Here is a 21,855-nt window from a genome sequence, read left to right as displayed (position 1 = left end):
TCAAATTGACCAGTGTTGGTTGGGGTTCTCCAGAAAAACAGAACCAATAAGATTTATATATATGGAGAGAAAGAGATTGATTATAAGGAATTGGCTCATACAATTATGGAGGCTACCACGTCCCAAGATGAGGGTTTATTGGCAAGCTGGAGACCCTTGAGAGCTGATGTTTCTGTTCAAAGACTGTCAGGAAGGAAGAATCCTCTCACTTGAGAGATGGTCTGCATTTTTGTTCTATATGGATCTTGAACTGTTTGAATGAGGCCCACCTATGTTAGGGAAGGCAGTCTGCTTCACTCAGTCTTCCAATTTAAATCCTAATATCTTCCAAAAGTACTCTCACAGAAACCGCAGAATAATGCTTGACCAAATATTTGGGCACCTTGTGGCCTAGTCAAGTTGATACATAAAATTAACCATCACAACCAGAAACATATAGATGGGAGCCAACTAAAATCATGAGGGATTTCTGTCACGGAGAAACCCCCAACTCTGAAAACAATACTCCATGATTGCCCAACCCCTAAATCAGTCCTCAGAGTCCTAGCCCCCATCATACATATACCTCTATTTACACCAACAAGCAGCGGGCTGCTGAAGCCGTGCAGCCCTCTGAAGAGGCTCTCACACAGAAATAATAGTAGACAAGGGAGATCCTCTAGGAGAGTGAAAGCAAGACAGCCCCAGTTCTTCATGTCACTGCAAAACGCAAGTCTTGGCCATTTATGTCCACAAAGACTGTAGTATGTACAAGGACTGATGGCCATTGGATGTTTCACATTCTTCTCTTTGCAATTAGGAATTTTTATTGCAATTCTGTCTTCTCTCTCTTATTATATATAGGGTGTGGTTAAAATTATTTACCCACATATCACTGAACGACAAAGAATCACTTGACATGATTTACACATCAACATAGAAATACTGGACTTGGATCTAGCTTCAGTAACCAGATGAGATTTCATATTATTTCCCTTTGGGGAAGGAATATGACTGTTGTATGTGTGGAAGTTATAGATTGATGTTAGGCAGCCAAAGGCTAGACTGTTGTTCACCACTGCCTGCTCCTTCTATCTGGTATTCAAAATTTCTTTTGAGAACCACTTCCACTCATTCTCAACTATATTGTTTGGTTGGATTGATACCCCCCTTTCCATTTCTGTCTTCTTAGCCACAGTAATGGATTCAGGGGTGGAAATGTAAATCCATACCAAAGAGAGCTTTTAGATTTTTGCTAGAAATGCTAGAACTCAACCTTCTCTTCTTCATTGGGCTTACTTATATGGAGGGACGTGAGCTTTAGAACTACTGTAATCATTTTTGGTGCCACAGGGAGAGCTAGCCTGAAAATCAACCTAGAAGCAGAGCTGAGAGATGGATCCTAATAACAACATTTTGCTCGTATTTTGTAGTCATTCTGGAATGCTCTTCTCTCATTTGCAACAACAACAAAGTTTCCCACGTGATATAGATGATGTGAGGAAATTCAAATGAGCACCTCTTTTAAGTGGTCTTTTCATGTTTTCCAAAGTCCTGTCTTCTATAATTGAAATCTGCAGAACCACAGGATCTGTAGACTTTTAGAACCAAAAGAACCATAAAGATCAATTAGTCAGGGCCTCGCAATGTGCGTCAGGAGACAGGCAAATTGATTTTTAGGTGTTTCATTAACATTTTTTATTTTAATAAACATTATTATTATGAGTCCTAGAAGAATATAACTAGTATTTCACATCAAACCTGTGAAGTCACAGGTTTTGACTTTCATTGAAAGGATCAAACCTGTGAAGGCGCAGGTAATGTTTTTATTGAAAAGAATATTAAAGCTTAAAGAGATAAATGGCTTTTTTAGGGATTGCCCAGTTGGTGAATGAAGGGTGAGGATATTAAATATGGAATCTTGTAACTGGAAGGGACCCTAGAGATCATGAAGTCACCTCCCCACCCTTCCACGACTTCAGTGTCACAATTCTCTCCAAAGCATCTCTCTCAAGTGGTTATCCAGCCTCTACTTCAATACCCGCAGTGATGGGAAACTTATCATTTGAGGCAGTACATTCCATTCTGGCAGTTCTGATAGTTAGAAAAGTTTCCCCTTATACTGAGTTCCTTGAAATTTCTTTTCATTTGTTTCTAGTTCTTCCCACTGAAGCCACTCCTCACCTTCAAATGTGTCAAGACAGTTACTCTACCCTCTCCACCTCTCCCTACAGAAACACACACACACGCACACAGACATACAGTCTATTTTCATGGACTCGGTTTTTTTTTTTTGTTTGATTGGTTTTTGTTGTTGTTTGTTGTTGTTTTGAGACAATGTCTCACTCTGTTGCCCAAGCTGGAGAGCAGTGGCACGATCTTGGCTCACTGCAACCTCCGCCCCCCAGGTTCAAGCGATTCCCCTGCCTCGGCCTCCCGAGAAGCTGGAACTACAGGTGTGCACCACCACACCCGGCTAATTTTTGTATTTTTAGTAGAGATGGGGTTTCACTATGTTGGCCAGGCTGGTCTCGAACTCCTGATCTTGTGATCTGCCTACCTCGGCCTCCCAAAGTACTGGGATTACAGGCGTGAGCCACTGCGTCCGGCCTGGACTATGGTTTTTAATCACTTCATGTTCTCATCATTCTTTTTTGATGTAATATTCAAATGTCCTTGTACCGTTTAAAGCTTTGTGTCTGGAACATAACTTAATATATTTGAAAGGTAGAATTAAGCTGGCGCTATCCACCATTTGTCCTGGACCTTATGTTTCCATTAAAGCAGCCTGAGATCACCACATCCCATGGTTGACCATTAAGTGGCAGCATCCATCTTTTTTTTACCATCATTCCATAGTTAACTGGCTGATTACTGAACCTCAGTTCAAAATTCCTAATTTATTCTTAATCCTTTTTATCATTCCAGTCTGTTGAGATTTTTGGGGGGATCTTGTTTCTATCAGCCAATTTATTAAATCTGAGAATGGTAGAGCATGAGGGCTTCTCTAGAAATGTAGCTAAAGTAACTTCAGGATACACAAAAATGTAGAAAGTGAATGAAGCAGTAACCTTATGGAACCTAGTACTCAAGAGATTGATATAGACTGAAAATATTAGTGAGCTTAATATGGATCAAGGAGAGATTAAAAGATATTTAGGAAATTATTCAACTTTTAAATACAGTGTCCTAACCTTGTCCTGACAACACCACTGAGTATCCTCACTGACATACCTCAGAACAGAAACTGCGCAAACCAACACATGCAAGGTCATAACGGACACTCTAGCCTTCATAGGCAAGGTGGCCTTGCCTGATCTGGTTATGGTCAGGCAAGAGGTCTTTTTTTTTTTAATTAAATACTTATTTTTTAACATGCAGGAAAACAGCTGGCTTCATGCTCCATGAAATATGTAGCTTCAGTTGAATTCTCTTTTTTTAGAAGAATTTTTAGATCCAGTACTTTGTTTTCTTTATCGGTGAAAGAGCAATCAATGCCTAGATATCTATCTATGAGCCCAAACTATAATGACTCTCAAAGACTCCCAGATTTATACCTTCTGGTGACCCCATGATTTATAGTAACTCATCCACTCCTGCCATTCTATGGGCTTTCACTGCTGCTTTATTGAAACAGGAGTACTGACAGAAACTTTATGCACTTGGAGGTTTTTAGGCTATTTAATTAGTCACTCATTTCTAGATCTTCAAAGGGCTGTATGTGTGTGTGTTTGCATGTGTGTGTGTTTTCTCGTTAGTCACACTGGCTCTTGTTGGATTTGTGTGTGTTTTTGTTTGTTTGTTTTTTTTTTTTTCCATTTGCACAAGGTCACATTCAGAGCTCTTCCTCCCTTAGGAGAGGTTGCACATTCGTCACTTCATCTGCCTCCCATTTCCTCCAGTTGGGATCACACAGCCCTTCCTGAGGTATTACCATTTTTCCATTTCTTCTTTGCTCCCTCCTTTCTTTTAATAACTCTGGGAGACAGGGAGGCACCTTGTAAAGTTAATTTCCTCCAAAGCTTTCAAAGCAAAGGCATCTCCCAGCCCAGACACCACCACCCCTCTCCACCCCTCAGTGACGGCGCACACCCCTCCTCACAGCCTTAGTCACTCTGGGCTGTGCCCGCCACCTAGGACTCACCAGGCCCCAGCTCTGTCAGGCACAGTGAGTTCCTCTGTCCTGTAGCTCTTAGGTCTGGGGTGGGAACTCTAGATAAGAAGAGTCTCCTCATTTATCTCCTTGGTGCCTTCCTCTCCCTTTTCACTTCCTAACTGTGCTCCCCTGCTTTCTGCTTCTCTCTGGTACTTTCAGGACTCATGGGTTGGCCGCCTGCCTGTACCAGGGATGGCATTTCCTCTTCAAAGGCCTGCGGCTGCAGCCACCCAGCTCTACCAAGCACACAAACCTTTGGAATTGCTGTGGCTTTGCTGCCTGCCTACTTGGAAAGCAAGAGCTGTTTTTTAAACACCCCTTTGGTTTCTTGGGGCAAAGCTTTTCTCAATCCTATTTTATTTATGCGAACATGATCTGTGGCTTTTGAATGTTTGCTTTTGAATGTTTGTGTTAACAGACTAAGCTGAAAGCGTTTCCTCTCACCGGAGAGAGGGCCCTGCACAGCTGGGGGCCAGGCTGCTCAGCTCAAGCAAAAGCTGTCCCAAGAGGAACAAGTCACCAGCCAAGGAAGTCTGGAAGCTCAGAGAGGAATTCATTGAGGCCTTTACGGGCAGCAGCGGTCAGAACTAGGATCATAGACTGGGCCATGAAGCTCGGTAATTTATTTGATTAATAGGAAGGACTAGACCGGAGACACCTAGATTTTTGCAAATATATTTTTCAAATTGTGCATATATTTACTGAAACTCTGTGTGGTTTTCAACAGCTTGGGTGTCTAATCTTTCGCCCCATATTCCCAGCCTTCTAAAGCACTCCTGGCAGTATTAAGAACTGGCCGGGCATGGTGGCTCACACCTGTATCCCAGCACTTTGGGAGGCTGAGGCGGGTGGATCACAAGGTCAGGAGTTCAAGACCAGCCTGGCCAACATAGTGAAACTATGTTTCTACTAAAAATACAAAAAATAATTAGCCAGGCCTGGTGGCAGGCACCTATAATCCCAGCTACTTGGGAGGCTGAGGCAGGAGAATCACTTGAACTCGGGAGGCAGAGGTTGCAGTGAGCTGAGATCACGCCACTGCACTCCAGCCTGGGTGACACAGTGAGACTCTATCCCAAAAAAAAAAAACAAAAAAAAACTTCAGAACTTGGTTGATCCTTGAATCATTTATCTGTAGGTGACCTGTCATCTGAAAGTGTGGCAGAGTTTTTCAGCAGCCTATTAATGTGCTTCTGGTATATGTCCTTCTTCGTCTTCTTTCTCCCTGGTACCTAGGGCACTTCAGATGGGAACAGAAATAAAGACTCAAAGTACAATCTTTCCATATCCAATGACTGTATAATTTAGCCCTAGGGTAAGGAAGACAGCCAGGAGAGGGGCAAGTAGGACCAGAGAGGACTGGGTAGAGGGAGTGGGGTCCTTAAATCTGCCATGAGGAATAAGGAATAGAGTAGAAGGGACTCAGTCAGGGCTGGGCTGTCTTTAAAGGTAAGCTCCACCTTACCACCATCACCACCCCATACCCTGTGCAGTCCTGGGTCCAGTGGCCCTGCATATCTCTAAGCCCTTGAAATAAAGGTGGGCAACTTACCTGGACAATTTATATGAGGATATGGGTATGATGAGGAATACCTCTGCCTCCAAATAAGATGGAACTAATTAGAGCTAGTTGGGAATCTTTCTACAAGCTGGGCCAAATGATGGATCCACCAGGAAGGCTGTCTCAGTTATTAACCTTCTTAAATGTAGGGACTGGTTGTTGTTGAAGACTATAAAAAGCTGCAATAGAAGAGAAAAATTAATGTAGTGGTCCGTGGAATACAGAAGTCACAGTTTTTGAGGCAAAATATTCCGGAGTTTCTTCATTTAAAATATGTAAGTCCAGTGTTGATATCCCTCTCTGTTCAATCTGTACTCTCCTTGGGCAGTGTCTTCTAACTCCTTGGCCTTGTAGCCACTGGTGACTTCACATGCTGGATCTCTCTCCTGAGCTTCAGATTTAGACAGTCTACTCCATACTTGACATGAGAATTGCACATGTGCTCAGACTGACCCAAAGGTAATTCATCCTTTACTCTGCTTGCCCTCTAGCCAAGGCCTCTTGGGTTACCCATTGTAGTCACCATTTACTTGGTCACTCATGCCAGAAAAATCAGTTATCTTTGACTCTTTTCTTTCCTGTACTACCACCACTCCCCCTACCCCACCCCATTCATTTTGCCTCAGAAATATCTCTTCATTCTGTCCACATCTCTTTATCTCTTTGGCCACCAAACTAGTCCAGGCTACCATCTTTTTTTTTCATCTAGCTACTACACTGGTCCTCTGACTGGCCTCTTGGCCTGGTTCATTTCTCCTTGCAGTCCATTCTCTATATACCAGTTTGCATAATGTGTCTAAAAATATGATCTGATCATGTTTCTTGCCTGCCCAAAAGCTTTGAGTGGCTTCCTATTGCATTTCAGATAAGATCTAAAGTCCAACTCCAGCCTTGCTTGCTCCTTCCAGCCTCACCAGGGCAGATATGTCTTTCCACTTCACTTTTGTTTCCTCAGCACCTAGAACAATGTCTAGCACAGGGTTGCCATCCATAAATAGTGGTTGCATAGAAGAATGAATGAACACATGAAACACAGGATTTCTATGCATTTGAGGAGAATTAAGGAGAATGGAGAATGAGTGAAAGTCAGTATGAAAACCTCTCAGTTCTTGTTCTAAGACTAAAATGTTTTGATTCCAGGACTGGCAGAGTTCAATATACTTGAGCAAGCATTATACAAACTGTAAGGAATGGGACGGTCTCCATTATTCTGCCCCATGGGCTCCTATTCTAGGTGTGGGCAGCATGTTGCCGGTGAGGTTGTCTACAGTGACTGGGCACTGACAGGTTTACAAGGTAAAGAGAAGAAAAGGCAATTGGTAAGTTTAGTGTAGGGATAATTTGGTTTGGTTTGTTTTGTTTTTTCTGACCAGCATCCATTTCACGTCCTAACAATACCCCAATTTCCTTTTAAAGGAAGATCTCTTTCCCGTTGGATTTAGTCTTTGGGGGCTGTCATTAAAAGCCTTCCTTCCCTTGAGGCCCACATTAGGCCAATCAAATGCTTTCCCCCTAGAATTAAACTCTTGAGCACAGAGACCAAGAAACTTAAAACATTTGCTGTGTGGAGGTGACCTACCAGCCATACCATGCCTGCTATGAGACTGCGGTAGTGGTTCCTGGTGACCAGTCACCCATTAATTAGCACAACAATGGACTCCAAATAGTCTCCTAATAAATTTCTTTTTCCATAGTTTGGTCACAGTTCTTTCTGTTACTTGCAACTCCTAGTGTGATAAATTTGGTACAAAATCAACAGAATATAGTTCTGGCCAACACATACCAGGGCCTGTATGGGGGTGGGGAGTCAGGGGAGGGAACTTAGAGGACGGGTCAATAGGTGCAGCAAACCACCATGGCACACGTATACCTATGTAACAAACCTACATGTTCTGCACATGTATCCTAAGTTTGTTGTTTTTTTTTTTTTTAGAAGAAATAAAGGAAACAAAAGTAAAAAAAGAATATAGTTCTGGCATCTTTCAATACTTTTGGCCAAAAACAATTATATGAATCCCAGAATAAACATCAGATGTAATTTGACTTTGGGAGTTCAATTATGACTGATTTTCCTAATATGGAGATATGTAACATTCCAATGTGAATCTTCTTAGAAATTAGTAGTTCAAAATATCACTATTTGGATTGGTCATTTATATCTAAAAGAAATAAATCAAAAACCACACTTTCAGCTCTTTTATTGTAGCCATAGTAAAAGGAGAGACTGAAAATGAGCTCAATCTTACTACTGATCAGGTAACTATAAATCAAAATAAATAGCATGCTCTTGCCAATCAGTTCTGTCAAAATTAAAAACACTGACAGTGTCCACTGTTGGTGAGAATGTGAACAAAGGACAATCTTTGTTGGTAGAATGGTAATTGGTCAATCTTTCTGGAAAGCAGTGTGGCAGTGCCTATCAAAATTCAACATGTATACTCTTTAACTCAGCTGTTCTACTGTTAGAAATAAGAGCCAAAGGACACAGGCATAAGAATCTGATGCAGTATTAATTTATTCTATCAAAATATTAGAAACAATGTAAATGCTACTTACTAGGCTGAATACATTAATGTATATTTTTACTATGATTTCATGATTCACTCTACAGCCATTAAAAAGAGTGTGGTTGGTCTGTATATAAGTAGAATCTACAATATATTAGTTACAAAAACCAGTTACAGAAAAATGTGAGTAGAAAAATTCTTTTTTAAAAAACAAAGCTATACACAGACTTTTTATGGTATGTGTATGTGTAAATACGTCTAAATGTGCATAGGAAAGATCCAGAAGGATTCATACTGAACAACTGCCAGTGGTTACTCGTGAGGAATGGGAGAGGAGCAATGGAATGGGAGAATAGAGGGAAAGAAAGGGAAGCTTGATTTTATATTTTATGTATTTTGATATTATTTGAATTGTTATTGCCTTTATATTACTGCTGTAGTTTTATTTTTTAATTATTTTTGTAATTGTAAAAATAAATAAATAAATAATGAAGACTACGAAATGTAAATAAATGACCAGAAGGTAGGCAAAGTAACCTTTCCAGAGATCAGAGGTGGTTTTTAACCCACTCATCTAGACAAGAGTTTGGCTATTCCCCATGGGTAAAAGCTGACAGACCAGCCATGCCCAAGATACAGCTGAGTTTCTATAAGAGGTAACCACCCAGGCAGGCCAAAGGAGGTTGTCCTGGAAGGCTTCCCTGGCCCACATGGAAATCAACCCATACAGGAGTTAGAATTACGCATTTGATTGTTTTTGTTGGCTCTGCACATCTTACCTTGAATGCCTCCTCCTTTTGTCCATGTATATTTAATTTGCTGTCCTGTCACAGCTGAATCCAGATTCCTCTCTGTCTAATGAACTTAATAATTGTGCCGTGGGTGTCTACAGACGGTAATCAGAGCCTCTTTGGTTCATTGAAACGTCATACCACCACCAAGTTCCTGCTTTTCATGCTGTCTTGTTTGGACAGAAAGTCGACTTATTTGTTTATTTGTATTCTACTTTGTTTCAAAACACATAATATGTCCAATACACTATTTTTTAAGAAAAGAAAATGGGGATAAGAGAAAAATAGGGTATAGAAATAAGATTAAGCCAGTAATGAGGTTAACACACAAGATATATGCTACCTAAAGTTTTATGTACTTAGTACATTAAGGGTAGTCCACAAATTTGGTTCTGAGTTTCCTAGTGACCAATGCAAAGTGCGTTATTAGGTACAAGTGTAAAGTAACATTCTTAGTTTTTTGGGTTTTGTGTTTTGTTTTTGAGACAGACTCTCACTTCGTCACCCAGGCTGGAGTATAGTGGCGTGATCTTGGCTCACTGCAACCTCCACCTCCCAGGTTCAAGCGATTCTTGTGCCTCAGCCTCCCAGGTAGCGGGAACTACTACTATTGCTACTAATTTTTTGTATTTTTAGTAGAGACAGGGTTTCGCCATGTTGGCCAGGCTGGTCTCGAACTCCTGGACTCAAGTAATCCACCCACAGCCTCCTAAGGTAGGAATTACAGTCGTGAACAACCATGCCTGGCCACATTCTTGGTTTTCTTGAGGAATGAAAGGAGAGAAATTGCAGTGGGTCTGAATATATATATTCAGCTGAGAAAACAACAACAACAACAACTATCCTACTGTAATCTAATGGACTTGAGAACTGAATCCTGACTAATATCAGGTGTCAGACAATTTTCCAATACATTCCAAAGACAGTAGTTTCCTTCATTCACATGAACTCCCTTGAGCCACTTGGTCCCCTGTGGACTGTTGTTCTTCTCTCCAGAGGGGCACTTGTCCTTTCTCAAAGCCATAAGCCCAGGGAAGAATGCTACTTTGTTCAAGTTATTTTTGATTCTTTTGGAACTTCCTAAAACTCCTGTCATGTGGTTCCAAGTTTAACCATAGTCATTTTGGACATGATTTTGTTTCCACAATGATGTATGTCAGCAACCACAGAGTGAGCTTCTTGTATTTTTACATCAATCTGATACCCTTTGTTTATTTGTTCCTCAGGTTTCACTTTCACTTATGTAATGGGTTATGGCATTTTTTGGTCATTACCTCATCTGGGATCTCCTTTTTCTTTGTACCTCCTGATGCGTCATCTTCTTGACTCTACTCCCTTGGATCTCTTGGATACAATGCCCTCAGCTGGTGGGTGGGAATGGGTGGGAGCCAGATTGCATGAGGACTCCTCCACCCTTCCCCACAGAAGAGCTGCCTGGGTTTGTCACCAAGTCATTTTCCATACTCATTCTTTTGGCATCCCTCAGAAAGCACATTGGCTTAAAACTACATCAGCTACCAAAAGCATCAGGGTTAGGCAGGCCTGGAAGAACCTAAGCTCCACTTCTAAGTTGGGCAGGGGTACAGGCAGCGTTTCTTGAACTCAAGAGTTACACTGGCCCTTTTCCCAGAGAATCTGTAGCTGGAAGTGCTCAGTCCCCTACACATACCCCTGTTCAAGCCTATGACACAGGTGGATCTTGAAGGAAACACATGTCTCAAAATATGAGCATTCCTTGGTTTAGGGCTCATTTTCCTGAGGTCATCCATATTGCCATATACAGCTGTCTACCTGAACATCTAATGGGCATCTTGAGCTTAACATGTCCAGAACAGGACTCCTATTTCATGTTCCCATCCCACCCCTACCCAAGCGTTACTCTTCTATTCTTCATCTTGGAAAATGGCACCACTGTTTGCCCAGCTGCTCAATCCAGAAAACAGGAATGATACTTGATCCCTCCTTCCCTTTCCTTCATCTTTTCTGTTGTCTCCATCAAATACAATGTTTCTATTTTCAAAACATATCTAAATCCATACACTTCTCTCCATACTCATGGCTATCACCCTAGCCCAAGCTGCTGTTGTCTCTTGCATGGACAACTGAAGTTACTAACTAGACTCCCTGCTTCCATTCTTGCCCCCACTACATTCTATTTCCAGAGTAGCCAGGGTGACAGAGCACATCACTCCTGTGCCTGAAACTCTCCAATGACTTTCTGTTGCTCTCAAATTTATTTAAAAATAAAAAAAAATCCCATTGTTCTTGCCTACCTCTCAAACCACATCTTATACCACTCTCCAACCACATCTTATACCACTCTCCATGTCACTCACTCAGCCCAGACCCATTGACTTCTTTTTCTCAAAAACACCAAGTGATTTCTCACTCAGGGCCTTGGTATGTGCTGTATCTTCACTTGGAATACTTTCACTTCACTTCTTACTGAGGTCTCACTTCTTCAGTGAAATCCTATTCCCAAGTTGCTATTAAGTAGCCCTTTTATTTCCTTCATAGCACTTCTTATAATTCAAAAGTATCTCATTTTAATTTGTAAATTTGTTTATTATTTGTCATTTTTGTCCAGAACACAAACTCAAAGAAGAACTTTGTTTTGTTCACCTCTGTATTTCTACTGAATATTTTTTAAAACGAATAAATATATGAAGTAAAGGACAAGCAAATGCTAAAGGACTTGTGTCAATCCAACTCAAAGAACATTATTAGGCATCTAACAGGCACTTGCCAGGTGCTGTAGTTTCAAAGATCAAACTAATCAGCTTCTTATCCTTAATTCTGGAAACATTATCTCTAAATATTGCCTTTTTCACATTGGGTTTTTTCTTCCTGTCCCCTTAACATCTCATGTTTCTCATTTATTTGTGCCTCTGCCCTTTTGCTGGGTAATTTCTTCACATTTATCTTCCATTTCCTTAATTCTCTCTTTACCTGTGTCTTCTCTACTTAGACTCATTCGCTGTGTTTCTAACTTTGATGATTGTATATTTTGATTTCTGTAAGTAGTATTTGGTTCTTTCTTCATTCTCCTTGGTCTTTTTATATGTTATTTATTCCTTTTCCATATTCGTATTTCTCTTATATTTCTTTTAAATTTAAAACAATTTATATAGAATAACTGTTATGTAAAGTCTAATTCTGTTCATTGTGGTTTCTGCTGGCTCTCACTCATGGTAGCTTGTTTCCTAGTATGGTTTGTAATTTCAAATTGTGATCTCGTATTCAGTGGGGCTTTGTTTGTTACACTCCTATGAGGCCTGGGTGGCTGTCCCTCCGATAAGATCTGCTTCTGCCAGGTACCCTGGGGTGGTATCAACCTGAGGCCAGTTTAAACTGATTTTTTCAACTGAGACTTCCAAGATCATGTAGGTAGTATAAATTCAAACCCTGAACCTGTGGTTAGGGAGGTGTATCTGTGATTTTAACATCTTATGAGCCCAGGCCAAGGCCAACATATTTCCCTGCTTTTCTTTATTGCAGATAAGCAGGTTTCCTTTTTTCTTTTTTTTTTTTTTCCTAGTCTACCCTTTCACTGAGTACATATTTCTTTGTGAGTCTCACTTTTATGCAGGGGTCTCAGTTCCAACTCTCCATTTTTTGAAGGTACTAAGCCTTGGCTCCTGTTCTCCATAATGCCCTTTAAACTGAGCCTCAAAGTTAATAAGATAGACTTTCCAGAGCAGCAGTAGCTTTAGTGCCTGTTTACCGTGCTGGATTCCAATCCCTCGTGTGTGTGTGTGTGTGTGTGTGTGTGTGTGTGTGTGTGTCCCCTTGGGGGTTTCTCCAATTTACATGAGAGTTGACTAGGCATTTGAAAGTATACTTTATCTATAATATCCAGGCATTTTGTCTGCCTTATAGCTAGAAACACAATACTTCCTTCCTTCTATGAGCATGTGATGTCATTCTGGGAGACATTCATCTAATCACCTACATTTATTATTTTTTCTGTGCTAAGCAGTAATAATCAGGTACACATATGAACATGATGAGAAGCATGCCTATAGTAATGTGAAGATACAGAGGTAAAAGAGACTAATTTCGATAGGAGATCTGGGAAGACTGCAGATAAAAAGGAGTTGGAGCTGGATAGTAATAATAATATCTTAGCTTTTATCTAGTGCTTACTCTGGACCAGCCACTGTGGCAAATACGTCAACATATATGGTCACCTTATCCTTACAACAAAGCATACAATTGGTACTATTCTTATCTTCCTGATTTTATAACTGAGGTGCAGAAAATTTGAGCAATTTCCTCAGAGTATACAGAAAGTAATTGGCAGTGCCTGGATACAAATTCAGTTTGAGCCCTGATCCAAGGCTTTTTAGCTATTATGCCATGTTGTGCTCGAACAGAGAGGCATTGGGGGAGGGCATTCTATCGAAACATTCTATCCAAACATTGAAGAAAATAATGACTACCTCCTAGAATGTTGTGAGGATTATTGTGAGATAATATAAGGAAAAGCAGATAGCACAGTGCATACTACATGATAGGCACTCAATAAATGCCTACTTTCTTTCTTCTTTAACTTTTTACCACCAACTCATCCATAAATTCCTTTAGGGATGGGGCCATGCTGTATATGAAGACATGCCTTATCTCCCACAGAACCTAGCATTAATTTGTGATTGATATTTTGACTGATTCATTGATTAAATTAATATGTTAATTAGATTGTGGTTTTGGGACTTAGGTTTGTGTTGCAGTGTACTTCTTAAAGTACTTTTACATTGATTAGCTCAATTTATCAGCACATCAATCCTTAGAGGGAGGTAGGGCAGATGCCTGGCTTTAGTGATAAATGTGAATTCTACTGAGGTAGGAATAGATCAGTGCTAGGAAAAGAGTGAGTATGAACTACGTGCAACTGGATAGAAAGAACAAGAGGAGAAGCCCCCAAACGTGGGAGTCTGGGAAATCTCAAGGAGGTAGTGGCAGAAGACCAGGCTTTTGTTCTGACTGATCTCTTCAGTTCCAACCCTGTCATCAGCCAACTGAGAGAACTTGGAAAAAGTCTTCAGTTTCTCTGAGTCTTAGCTGCCTCATCATTCAGGCATCACTTCATGCTTGGATGTGGGTCTCCATGTCCATCACACTTTATCATCAGTTTTCCACATTAGACTATGACCTCCCTGAGAGCAAACGTTCCGTATTTACTTGTTGTAACTCCAGCATTTAGCACATGCTTGAGTTATAGAAGGAGCACAATATCTATTGCATAAATGATGAATGAATAATTTAGATAAAAAGAGAAAAGAGCCGGGCGTGGTGTCTCACGCCTGTAATCCCAGCACTTTGGGAGGCTGAGGCGGGTAGATCACGAGGTCAGGAGATCAAGACCATACTGGCTAACATGGTGAAACCCTGTCTCTACTAAAAATACAAAAAAAATTAGCCGGGTGTGGTGGCAGGTGCCTGTAGTCCCAGCTACTCGGGAGGCTGAGGCAGGAGAATGGTGTGAACCTGGGAGGCGGATCTTGCAGTGAGCTGAGATAGCGCCACTGCACTCCAGCCTGGGTGACTGAGCAAGACTCTGTCTCAAAAAAAAAAAAAAAAAAAAAAAGAGAGAGAGAGAAAAGAGGAGAGGAGAAACAAGGTCAATGTCATAGATGCAGACCTAAGGTACCACGAGAGGAAGCAAATAGGAAACAAGCTGAGCCAGAGAGATGGTCCTGCCCATAATGGGGCATTTAATGAGGTGGATACTATCATGTCTGATTATGAACTTAAAGAGTCACGGGCTTCCCCAGTGACTTTAATAGCAGCCTGTCCTTTCTATTTGTTTAGCCCAACTTCATTTTTGGAGATAGCACAAAAGTGAATTTTAGCCCTGGCTTTACCCAAAAGGCCACATATTCCAGAGAGTTGAGAAGGCTGAATTAGTGGGGTATGTATTAGTGAGATTTTACACTGTTGAGGTGTTGCAGTGTACTTTGTGAACATGGCCATAATCAGTATTCATCTGCACAATAAGCCTCCATTCCTTTGGGATCCCTTTTTTCTCACTCTTCAAGGTCCTTGTTCAAAGGCCAGCTTCTATACTTGCTTGTAAAATTCTGGGCTCACGTCTAGGGGCAGCTTACGCTTCCTCCGCTCTATAACTTCCCTTTTTTTTTCCTTGCCCAGGGTCCATTTCAGCAGAACTTCATGGACCAAGAAGCCACAAGCAACTGGGAAACAGTCCTTTCTTTTGTTTGGAGCTTAACAATATGGGGTTAGGCCCAAGGAACCATTGATCAGCAAATCAACCCAAAACTTACAAGATATCTCTTACCTACCATTACAAGGGGATGCTGTAGTTCTTTCCACTCATTAGATGACTTAGATTAAAATTTTCAGGTCCTGGGTACAGGTAGTCTTTGGGACCAACAAGAAAGGGATCTAAGTACACATCCCAGGAGAGAGCCAGCTAGCAGCTGTAGCTCATCTCACTTCTGAAGTGTGTCCTCACCCAACTGTGAAAATGACCTAATTGTGTACAGACAACAGCAATTGTACAGGGAAAATAATACAGTAATGCAAATATCCAAACCAAATTGGAAAAGCAAAGCAATAAGAAGCCAGAAAACATTAGATCATTCGAATTGCAACCTGGCCAAGACAGCATCTGGGCGTGCATCCTCTGCCCTGCTTTTGTTCACATACCATCTCTAATGCCTCTCTGCATTTCTAGAATAAACCCTCTGGGTGACTGTACTCTAAGGAATAAGGTTTCTTTCAGTGTTCCTTCAGAAGCGGCAGGGACTTCCCCACTAGAATATTTCAGTAGAATACTTCCCCAGTAGAATGCTTCAGTAGGCTTCCAGGGCAAAAAGGGCCTTTCTCACTCTGAAGGGGTGGGTGGAAGAGTGGTGTACCTTTAGCAGCGTTATGTATTTTAATTGTGTGACCAAGGCAGATCATGCTTATTCTGTGCTTATTTTCCTTCCTCACTGGGTCATTTCCACTTTAGTTCTGAAAACAGAAAACAATTGACTAAATGAAGAGCCTTCCTGACTGAGCCTTGGATCTCGCTGTGGGTTTGGACAAAGAGATAGGGGTGTTTCCACTCTTCTCCCTCTACCTATCGTAAAGGTGTGCAAATCGGCCTTTGAGTCTGAGGAATAATGCGATCTCTCCTGGCACAATCTTATTTCTGTTTCTCTGCTGAGCAGCCCCCTTTCCCTTCTATGGGGAAATCACTCCTGGACAGGCTCTAGAGTCGGAAGTGGGATCTAGACAGGATAGGTGACCTCTTCAAGCTTTGGATCCCTCACGTGGTAAGCAAGAATAAATTTATTATTAATAGTATCATATTCATATTAATATTATGACTATATAATAGTATAATAATCCTGCCTTTGGGGTTTGTGAGGAGGCAGTGTTATAGAGAGCTGCTCAGAGCACCTGGCACCGAGTGAGTACTACCGAAATGGTAGGTTTTCTTATCACCACTTGGCTGTCCAACCTCCTATCCACTACCTCAGTGGGCCATCAGATACCTCAGCACAATTTCAGCGAGGAAGCAGCCAAGGGGCATTTCTGGTGATAATAAGTTTCACTGGATTCATGACAGTGAAACAAAGAATGACATTTCCCCAATGAAATTCCTCCTCACCTTCAGCTAGTGAGGGCTGGACCTTTTACTATAGGATCAGGGGCAAGCCCCTGCACAATCCCAGTTGCCTAGTTGCTTGAGAATTTCTTCATGTCAGTGGATCTCCATTTGTCAGGAATATGAAGCCTTTAAAAGCTGGGGCTCTGGGAAGAGGGAGAATCAGAGGGGAGAACCAGGGACCACAGACAGACAAACCCACCTTCCTGCATCAGCCAGGGAAAGGAATGCCTCCCAAGCTAGCCCGTCCGGAAGCTGCACCCAGGGACTGCCCGGGAAGGAAGCATAACACCGGCTTCAGATAAGTGATCCTGGGCAGAGATAGTTCCACAGTGCCCTTGGGGCGAGGAGCCACGGGAAGTAGAGTGAAACAAAATCTTTAAAAAGTGCTGGATTCTAATCCCTGCACTCTCCCTTCCCAGCCTGTGGGCGTGGGCCAGGTGCTGGCCTTCGTTAGGCTGGAGGGTTGCATTTGTAAAATGTGTCTGACAGCAATACCGCCTGGAGGGTCGCCGGGAGGGTAATCTGGGGCCCGCGGCCGGGCGTGCCCAGGAGGCCCGCGGCGATGGCAGGGGTGGGACTTACCAGCGTCCCCTCGCTGGAGCGACCGGGCCGAGAGGGGCACCCCATGCCCCCGCAGCCACACGCCGTCGGTCCTGAGGGACGGGTCGCGCCTGTCCTCCCGCGGGGACCGACCTGACCCGAGCCGCCCTCAGGTTCCACAAAGCTGGGGCACGGCCCCCGGGTCTCCGCGTGCGTCAAGCGCCAGCGGCGTGACTCCCGGGCTGGGGCTGGCGCTCGCGCGTCAGGTCGTGGCCATTGTCTTGCAGGAGGCCCGCGCCAGGCTGGCGGCGCAGCGGTCACCGAATAGGGGCCCTGCTTAATCGCAAATGGTGCAACCCAGTTTTTGATGTTCTAAACTATTACCATACAAGAGAAAAGAATAAAAAGATTTAGAGAAAGGAAAGGAAAGGAAAAGAACCCAAGTTTATATCTGTTATTTGTTGCCATGGGATCTAGGTCAGCTGTAAACATATGCAGCTCCTTTTTATTTAAAACAAAACAACAAAACAAAACAAAAAAACCTTTCAAGCTATGTACTGCAGTGGACAAAGATTACACCGTGTTTGTGTTGCAATGTTGCTATGGAAATGCATATGGTGGAAATTTGCAGAGAAGTCGAAGGAAGTCATATGTATGCATGACAAACATGAAGTTCGAGAGTGCCTGAGTGCCTCTCAGCCTGGCTGGGTGTGCCTGCGCCCTAAGGAGGGAGGCAAAGGTGTTAGAGTCAAAAAGTGGAGGGTTTAATTCAGTTCTGCCACCCAGTAGCTGTGTGGCCTTGGGCAAGTTACTGGGCCACTGCTGAGCTTTACTCTTCTCTGAAACGGGGAATGACAACCCCTACTGTGCATCATTGTTGTCAAGATGGAAACAAGATGGCAGGTCTTGAGCACTGTACACAGTAAGTGCTTAATAAATGTTTCTGGCGTGATGGCAGCAGTCCCAATTATGCGCCAAGAATTTAGGGTCATTCATCGAATGGTCTAAAAATGTTCAGAAAGGTCCTTCAGAAAGGTGCTCTGGCCTGACCAGAGGACAACACTGCCAAGATTTGGCTGCAGTTTGGGCTTTGAGACTTGGAGCACTGTGGGGAAGCTGAGTGTGTTCAGTGCTGGCCAGACTTGGTTGTGTAGACAGTTGTCATCACACTGGACGATACAGAAAAATACAGACACTCAGTTGTCAAGGGAACTGCAGGTGATCCACTCCAAAAAATGGGAATGCGGAGTCAATGAGATGAAGTTGCATGGCAAGTTGGTAATATATGTCAGGTGCAGTGCTGTGGCCTCTCAGCTTCAGGCTCCGTGATCCTCCCACTCCATGTGGCTGGCAGCGGGCTAGCCTTCCCATGCTCCAGCACCTTTAGGAGAACAGAAGATCATGTTTAAAGTGCTTACACTCCAGATGAATACTTTTGGAAGACTGGATAATTATTATAATTGTAACAATTTAATTTTCAAGTTAATTTATGAAACCAACCAGGGAGGTACTCTGCACACACCTTTGTGCATTTTGGCTTGCATTTTGAAAGATCTACAGACCTGTTGGAGTGCTTGCTGTCTGTGCACCCCACCCCCCAGCCCCAATATACCCACTAGAGGTTGGCAAAACACACTCTGAGAGCTTGTGGCCACCTTAATCAAGTTGCTAGATCTATCTGCACCCCATTTTTTGATCTGGAAAATGAAGATGTCAGACTAGGTGACTTATGAGGTCCTTCTAGCTCTAACTGGCTGTGACTGTACTGTCATTCATCTATCTTGAATAGAATACAAAAGATCTTTTTCAGTGTTCTAGACCATCAGTGTTCTAACCTACATTAGGAAACAATGAGGGAAAAAGTCTGCATCCTCCCTCAACAGGACATTCTAGTTTCTCTTGGTTCCTTGATGGGCCTTCAGAAATAAGCATAGAAACTATCCCAGCTCACCCATGCTTTTCCTGGGCATGCCTTCCCTCCTTGCCCCAGCCTGGAGACTTCACAATTGGGCCAACTGTTCCTCACCTGCGAGGGCATATGTAGTCCTGATTGAATGGGCTTCTGTCTTTGCTTCTGCTTTTTCTCCACCTTCACTGTGACTCAAGCCACTCTTTAAAAACTAATAGAGAGTGAAAAGGCAAGGTGGAGGGACCCAAGCAATTTTGTTTTTAAACTGTCTTTCTTTTTTTTTTTTTTTTTTTTTTTTGAGACTGTGTTTTGCTCTTGTTGCCCAAGCTGGAGTGCAGTGGTGCGATCTCAGCTCACTGCAACCTCTGCCTTCTGGGTTCAAGTGATTCTCCTGCCTCAGTCTCCCGAGCAGCTGGGATTACAGGCATGTGCCACCACGCCCAGCTAATTTTGTATTTTTAGTAGAGACAGGGTTTCTCCATGTTGGTCAGGCTGGTCTCACACTCCCAACCTCAGGTGATCCACCCACCTTGGCTTCCCAAAGTGCTGGGATTACAGGCCTGAGCCACCGCACACAGCCTAAACTTTCTTTTTAAACTATAAGCCACGTAACTTTGTCATCATTCTTTGTATACCTCAATGGAAGTTGTTTGGTTATTTTCCTGGCAAAATGGTCAAGGTGTGTGTTTAGATGGGAAATATATATGTAAATCAACTCTCTCTTTCTCTCTCCATATGTATATGTGTATGCTAAAGTCTTAAATTTGAAAAAATATATCTGCCATAAATGGCCATGGTACCAGTCACCTCATTAGTGCAATAGACATTGCCTCTCACATTTAAGACATTAGTATCTTGGCAAATGATATTAATTATGTGTCTAATGATAGGATTACTAATGACTTTCAAAGACCATAACTTTTCCCCTTTCTTCTGCCCCCCAATTATTTTGATTTGGGTTACACATTGGTAGAGATGTAGGAATACAACTTAGCTCAATGTGGCTCTACTCCCAGCTCTGTCATTAACCAGCTATGTGACCTTAGACAGCCCTTTCTGGACCTTTTCCTCATTTGAAAAGCAAAGGACAGCCTTGGGCCATCTCTCAGATGTCTTCTGCACTAGCCATCTTGGGTTCTGCCACCCTTCAGCCTGAAGAGGTTGTCTGCTGCCAGCTACTGTTGACTCTTGGAACTTCTGTTCACAAGAGGCTTGTCCTCGGGCTCTAACCAACTCTCAAAATCTTTTGCATTCGAAATCTTTTGCACTCTAAACTTCATCTCAGGAATGAAGACTGAGGCTTTTGCTCAGTCTTGGTTTCAAAACCCGAGTCAGGAAGAACTTTCCATTTAAAGGCTAGTTCAAGAGCTCTAGCCATTCCCAGGGTAGGCAGGTCACATTTCCGGGGTGTTTGCTCTGTCAGCTGATGTTTTCTTATCTCCTGTTCACTCATTCGAGGTTAACATTCCATTGCTTTGCCTTCTTCAGATTCCTGCCAGTTCAGCTTGTGTGCCCCAGTGAAAGCTTTCTCTATGAGTGTTTCTCATCTCTGCTCTCTTTTTGGAGAAGTTTCCAGGAAGGAATGTGATATAATTGCATGCAATACAGCTGAACAGTGTGTAGTTATCCAGGAGTAGCCTCCACAGGTTCCTGGGCCAGAGAAACGGCAGCCCCTGGTGACAGGGGCTTTCTATCCCTGCCTTGCTGGGAGAGTATGTGATCTCCCCTGCACCCTCTCCTCTTGGCTGCAGTGGGTATAAAACACCTTTCAATAGATGCCAGATTGAAAAGTCACTAAAAAGTAACATGTCTTATTCAGCATTCTACTACTCATCAGAGAAAATTGTTATAAAGCATTTAAATGGAAAATTCTTTCTGGACTTGGTAAGGTTTGTTTTCAACTTGCCCCACAAGCTCTTACTTTTCTTTTCCTATGCTTATTCTTCCTACCTTTTCTTGCCTGCCACAAGAAAGGTGAAAGCCAGGGGATGATTTTCTTTTTTTAATATTATCTTGGGTTTTCTGTAACTTTTTTGCTGCTAGAATAACCGAATGAGATCATGACCAATTTGAAGGGATATCTGGCAGCCACTATAATTATCTGTTACAGGTTGGCAGGTAAATAGAGAAGTGGTCTTTTAGGGTCCACGTGAGGAAAAGGCCCATGTGGGGAGAACGGATGCAGTGGGCCAAAGAACAGTATTATTCTGGTAAAACAGAGCCTGTGGTGCCATGAGACACATCATTTGCCTCCCCCTCTCCTGCTGGACACAGCACAGGCAGCATGTGGTGTTGGGAAAGGCCCTTCTGGAAGGGTGAACCACAGGAATGCAGCCCTGCATGTTGGCTGATGAGCCAATCAGAGCACTGACGATTGGCCCCACACGGATGTACAGATTGGTTCTGCTATGTAACAGCTCATATCTGGAAATAGATATTCCTGTCTGTGCCAGGCTAGGGATGGGGTGAGGCTGGGGACTCATGTGAAGGTCTGGGATTTCAAATTCATAAGCAGGCCACCAGGTTGGACAGCGTGTGCAACTTCGCTCTGTTGGTATTTTGTTCCTGCCCCATGTGTTATGACTTCTTTCCCAAACTGATATTTTCTCCTGAGTCTTAGGGCACAAGAAAGCAAACAAACAGACGGAATACATTAGCCACATCTTTTTTCTTAGACCCTTTGCTGATATTGGTTAAAGCTGCTTTGCTCTTTACTTGGAAGTAGTTTTGACTCTACTTTTAAAGTAACATTTGCCAAGAGAATGCAAACCAGTGCTTTGTCATGATTCCT

General features: G+C 42.6%; 2 long non-coding RNA genes across 3 annotated transcripts, besides 1 other annotated feature; one reads left to right on the top strand and one right to left on the bottom strand.

The window, feature by feature from the left end:
- The first annotated feature begins 2,517 nt into the window (after positions 1-2,517).
- On the top strand, positions 2,518-8,701 carry LOC107985057 (uncharacterized). Its single transcript, XR_001738127.2, has 2 exons — positions 2,518-3,906; positions 4,554-8,701. It is a non-coding gene; the product is annotated as an uncharacterized LOC107985057 (long non-coding RNA).
- LOC112268231 (uncharacterized) lies at positions 3,774-14,575 on the bottom strand. Of its 2 annotated transcripts, XR_007066202.1 has the most exons (3): positions 8,983-11,387; positions 5,688-5,875; positions 3,774-5,375 (listed from the first exon to the last, which is right to left on the bottom strand). It is a non-coding gene; the product is annotated as an uncharacterized LOC112268231 (long non-coding RNA). The 2 variants fall into 2 exon arrangements; XR_002958331.2 differs by having other exon boundaries at positions 5,688-14,575.
- Positions 10,096-10,390: an enhancer, noted in NCBI's record as "tiled region #3870; HepG2 Activating DNase matched - State 23:Low". NCBI's record gives its function as "activates a minimal TATA promoter and a strong SV40 promoter by Sharpr-MPRA in HepG2 cells {active_cell/tissue: HepG2}" and the evidence as "EXISTENCE:reporter gene assay evidence [ECO:0000049][PMID:27701403]".
- Positions 14,576-21,855: the final 7,280 nt, after the last annotated feature.

The sequence above is a fragment of the Homo sapiens genome, chromosome 1, assembly GCF_000001405.40.
Source record: "Homo sapiens chromosome 1, GRCh38.p14 Primary Assembly".
NCBI classification, from domain to species: Eukaryota; Metazoa; Chordata; class Mammalia; order Primates; family Hominidae; genus Homo; species Homo sapiens.
The sequence above is the reverse complement of the archived record's forward strand: the minus strand, read 5'-3'. Positions and strand labels throughout refer to the sequence as shown.